Source organism: Homo sapiens, chromosome 14, assembly GCF_000001405.40.
Source record: "Homo sapiens chromosome 14, GRCh38.p14 Primary Assembly".
Taxonomy (NCBI): Eukaryota; Metazoa; Chordata; class Mammalia; order Primates; family Hominidae; genus Homo; species Homo sapiens.
The window spans coordinates 75,328,733-75,334,023 of record NC_000014.9 but is presented as its reverse complement, the minus strand read 5'-3'; the positions used below and the strand labels follow the sequence as shown (position 1 = coordinate 75,334,023).

Genomic DNA, 5,291 nt, shown 5'->3' with positions numbered 1-5,291 from the left:
CCGCAGCGTTTCCAGCTGGGAAGGAGTTGGACATGACCGTACCCGCAACAGCTGCGCTCAGCACTGCCCGGGGCTGCCCCCATCCCTACCCCTACCCCGGGGGCTCCGGAAACCCCCCACAACCCCCGCAGATTTACCAAAATCCAGGGACCCTCTTACCCCCCCTCCCCTCCTCCCCAGGTCACCCACAGACACACACACATTTCCTGCCCTGCCAAAAATAAAGCTGGAGGGCGCTGGGGGTGCGCTTGCCACCAGCCCCTCCGGGGAGACTGCTGCCTCGCTGCACCCCTCCAGTGAGAGGACCACCCCCTTCATTTCTGCTGCCTTCCTCCTCCTTTGCTTTGGTGGATGTCACCCTGGCTCTGCCAAGGCCCTGGTGGAGGTTGCTCTCAAGGCATGGGCTGGAACCCTGCCCCTCTTCTGCTAAAGACACATAGCCCTCCTTCCTTATAAAAGCAGTTATACGGCCGGGCGTGCTGGCTCACGCCTGTAATCCCAGCACTTTGGGAGGCCGAGGCGGGCAGATCACCTGAAGTTGGGAGTTAGAGACCAGCCTGACCAACATGGAGAAACCCTGTCTCTACTAAAAATACAAAAAAAAAAAAAAAAAAAGAAAAAAAAAGAAAAAAGAAAAAAAAAATTATCTGGGCCTGGTAGCACATGCCTGCAATCCCAGCTACTCGGGAGGCTGAGGCAGGAGAATGGCTTGAACTAGGGAGGCGGAGGTTGCGGTGAGCTGAGATCGCGCCATTGCACTCCAGCCTGGGCAACAAGAGAGAAACTCCGTCTCAAAAAAAAAAACCACACAGTTTATACCTTCATAGTACATGTCCCTAACCTCGACCCACCAATAGAGCAACTCCCTGAGAGGACGATCAAGAGGTCAAGCTTGTTTGGGGTGAGCCCCACTCCTGGAAATCTGGAGGGGGGCAGAAGTAGTGCCCCTGACATCTGGTGGGTCATAGGTGCTCAGTCGTTATTTATTTTTGCTCTCCTCCTCCTCATTTTCTTCCTCAATATCAGCTCCTCTCTCTGCATACACCTCCTCCTCCTTACACCTCTCTCTCCTTCCTGCTCCATCCCTTCTTCACTTTATCTCCTTTGGACGACTGCCTCCTGCCTGCTGGAGCACTGAGTGGGGCTGAGGAAGCTCCCTGTGCACCCTGCACCCCCTTCTCTTGGCTGCTAAAACTCTGACCCAGCCTCCTACACCACAACCCTACTTGTCCCTAATTCACTCTGGCTCCTTCTCCACCCCGTCACCCTGGCTTATGCAGTGTAGTCTTGTTGAAGACATCGGGTCTATACCAACCTGGACATCCATAATTGCTTCCTGAAACACATTTATGCAAGATCTCAGGATTTTGTGGCTTTACCAAACACCTCCCCTGAGTTTTCAAAACACCACCTGATAAATTAGTGTTCATCTTGTTGCAGGTGACAATGATATTACAGTGGTATTTTTAAAGTCCTTATCTTTAGAGATACATTCTTTAACATATTTCCAGGTGAAATGATATGGTGTCATGAGTTTGCTTCAAAGTAATATGGGAGGGGATTAAGCAGATGGGACATGGATAGGGAAGGAATGGCCTTGGGTCAATATTTCTTGGGACTAGGTAATGAGTAGATGAGGGTTCATTATACTCTTCTGTCTACTGCCTCCGTAATATAAAGTTAAATTAATTCTCCAGCCTTCCAAAAAGGGAGAAATGAATTAATGAACAAATATTGGCAAAACATTAGAAATTATTGAACCTGGGTGATAAATACACATGGATTTATTGTGTTATTTTTTCTACATTTTTATGTGTTTGAAAAAATGATTAAAAATGACTTTTTAAATGTTTATTTTTATTTTATTTATTTATTTATTTTGGCCAGGTGCAGTGACTCATGCCTGTAATCCCAGCACTTTGGGAGGCTGAGGTGGGTGGATCACTTGAGGTCAGTAGTTTGAGACCAGCCTGGCCAACATGGCAAAACCCCGTCTCTACTAAAAATAGAAAAATTAGCTGGGCATGGTGGCGGGTGCCTGTAATCCCAGCTACTTGGGAGGCTGAGGTGGGAGGATCTCTTGAACCCCAGAGGCAGAGGTTACAGTGAGCGGAGATCATGCCGCTGCCCTCAAGCCTGGGTGACAGAGTGAGACTGCATTTCAAAAAACAAAAACAAACAAAAAATAATAATAAAATAAAATGTTTAATTTCTTTTTTAATGCCACCTTATCACAAACCCTTCATCTGTGTAAAGCTAGGCCATGGGTATTCAACACGCACTACACAGATGTTGATGGACAAGTGTTTCCTCAAAGATCTCAAGTGCTTCTGCTGCCTCTTCCTTAGATGAGCACACTGAAATGCTCCAGAAAACAGAACTTCTTGGCTGGGCAGTGCTGCTTTGGCATCTCCATGCCTTTGCACTTGCTCTGCCCTCCACATAGACTGGCCTTCCCCAGTCCACCTGCCAAGCTCTTACTCAGTTTCAGCCCCTCTTCTCTAAAGCTTTCTCTGACCCTCCCAGGCCTTGTGTCACCACTGAGCCCTGTACATACCTCTGTGTTATACAGTTCACCTTGAAATCCAATTGTTCCTTGCATGCCTAGCCCCCACCCCACACTAAACTTTTAACTACTTGAGAGCAGGGACTTTATTTTTTATTTTTATTTTTTTGAGACAAGGTCTCGCTCTGTTGGCCAGGCTGGAGTAGAGTGATACAATTATACCTCACTGGCACTTCAAACTCCTGGGCTCAAAGGATCCTCCCGCTTCAGCTTCCTAAATAGCCACATGTACGTGCCACCACATCCAGTTAATTTCTAAAAAATTTTGGTAGAGACAGGGTCTCACCATCTTACCCAGGCTGGTCCTGAACTCCTGGGCTCAAGCAGTCCTTCTGCCTTGGCCTCCCGAAATCCTGGGATTACAGGCATGAGCCACCACGCCTGGCCCAGGGATAATGTTTCATTCAACTTTCCATCATTAGGACTTCAAATACCACCTATATGCTCATGACTCCCGAATCAACATCACCAACCTCACACTCCCCAGCACCAGACTCTTATAGCCAAATGCCTTGAACAAGGCAAATGCCTTCTGAACTTCTCCCCTTGGGTGTTCTACAGACCCCTGAAATTCACCGTGTCCAAAACTGAACACATTGTCTTTCCCCTAAACTTACTCTTCCTGCCATGCCTGAGCAGGTAAACAGAACCCTCCACTCAGTCGCTCAACCCACAAATACGAGGTCTACCCTTCACCCCTCTTCTCCTGCACTTCAGCTACTGATTTCACTTCCTACATAAGCCTTGAATGTTCCCACCTCCCTCATCCCTACAGCCCCTTCCTTGTTCAGGGCACCATTGCCTCTCTCCTAATGACAGCAAAAGCTTCTTCGCTGTTCTCCAATCTTGCCCCCTCCATCCCAAGTCTCCATATGAAAGTCTGATCTTTCTAAAATGCCAATATAATCCTATCATATCCTAATAAAATTCTTCCATGTCGCCCTAAAGTTCAAATTCTTCAACATTGAACATGGCTTACAAAGCCCCTTTGTGACTGACCTCAACTCACCTCACTCCCTATCATTTCTCTCTCCAACCCTGCCTACTAATCCCCAACGCACACACACACACACACACACACACACACACACACACTCAATAAGCTCTAGCCACTTGGAAGGACTTGCAGTTTCCCAGCATGCCTTACTCTTTCTGTGGCACAGACAGCACTGCCCACCAAATATCACATGGGCTCCCCTACATTCCTAGCCCTGTAGCATTTAGATGGAACTGGGTCACTGGTTCTGGACAATGGGTCATGAGCAGAAGTTGGATGATCACTCCAAGGCTAAATCATTCTCTCTCTCTCTTTTTCTTTTTCTTTTTTTTTTTGACAGAGTCTCGCTCTGTCACCCAGTCTGGAGCTGGAGTGCAGTGGCATGATCTCGGCTCACTGCAACCTCTGCCCCCCGGGTTCAAGCGATTCTCCTCCCTCAGCTTCCTGAGTAGCTGGGATTACAGGCATGTGCCACCATGCCTGGCTAATTTTTGTATTTTTAGTAGAGATGGGGTTTCGCCATGTTGGCCAGGCTGGTCTCAAACTCCTGACCTCAAGTGATCCACCAGCTTTGGTCTCCCAAAGTGCTGGGATTACAGGAGTGAGCCACCGCACCTGGCCTCTCTCGCTCTCTCTCTGTCTCTTCCTCCCCAGCCACATGTTGAGATGACAGAGTCTTGAGACGAAAGCACCCTGGATCACTGAGTCACCCCATGGAGGGCAGTGGCTCTGAATGCACATCAGACTCCCTGCAAGTGAGAATAAACTTTTTTCATGTGAAGCCATTGAGAGTTTTGCATCTTTTTCTTTTACTACAGCATAACTCAGCCTATCTCCTCCAGCACATGATTTCTCCTCTGCCTGGAACAACTCTCCCTCCCACCTCTCTACTATCTACCTCCTCACCTGGACAGTTTCTGCTTATGTCAGCCTTAGCTTAGTTGCTGCTTCCTCCTGAACTCCCAAGTCTAGCTCTGGGTTCTTACTAAGAACTTTCTTAACACCCTAGGAGATCCCTCTGAGCACTTTCCACCCTATATTATAAGGGGCCATTCATGTGCCTCTTATTCCTCACCAGGTCTGAGATGGGAGGGCCCATTCCTCTTTCTGCTTCACAGCTGTACCCCCAGCCCCTGCTACAGGGCCTGTATGTAGGGTATCCAATGGATGTTTGCCCAATGAACAGGTAAACTTTGTATTCACAGGACCTAGCTTCTAGCTCAATAAATATTTAATAAATGAATAAATGAATGACTTAACCTCTAAAAGAAAAAAAGATTTGGATTCTAAAAAGTAGCCCAATACTCATAAACAGCCTTGAATTGTAAAACTATACTCACTATATACAAATTAGTGTGCCCACCCCACAGTTCTGCCCTATACCAAAGGTCAACTATTTTACTTCAATGGGTCAATTAGCCCCTCTTTTAGTGGTAAACTATTCGAATTGAGGAATTGGAGGGTGGAAAGTTCTGCTTTTTGATGACTTATGCTCAGCTGGAGAAACTAAATACAGTACAAAAGCTGAAAATCCACAGCCAGGTTCTTACTCTACAGCTTCCTCACTTTTTTCATGTTTGTTTAACATTTTCTCCCCATTACCTATTGGGACGTCAGTAGAACCTGAACTGGACATTAAAACAGTAGCTAAGTAAATAATGCAAGCCTTTTAAGCTCTGGTGCCGTTCAAGGCCACAGCTGTCCCACAAAGCCACTGACACTGCTGTC

General features: G+C 47.1%; 1 annotated feature.

The window, feature by feature from the left end:
• Positions 4,868–5,037: an enhancer, noted in NCBI's record as "experimental_36725 CRE fragment used in MPRA reporter constructs". NCBI's record gives its function as "activates a minimal promoter by MPRAs in K562 erythroleukemia cells, with activity observed for the non-introgressed 14:75795775 variant allele {active_cell/tissue: K562}" and the evidence as "EXISTENCE:reporter gene assay evidence [ECO:0000049][PMID:34662402]".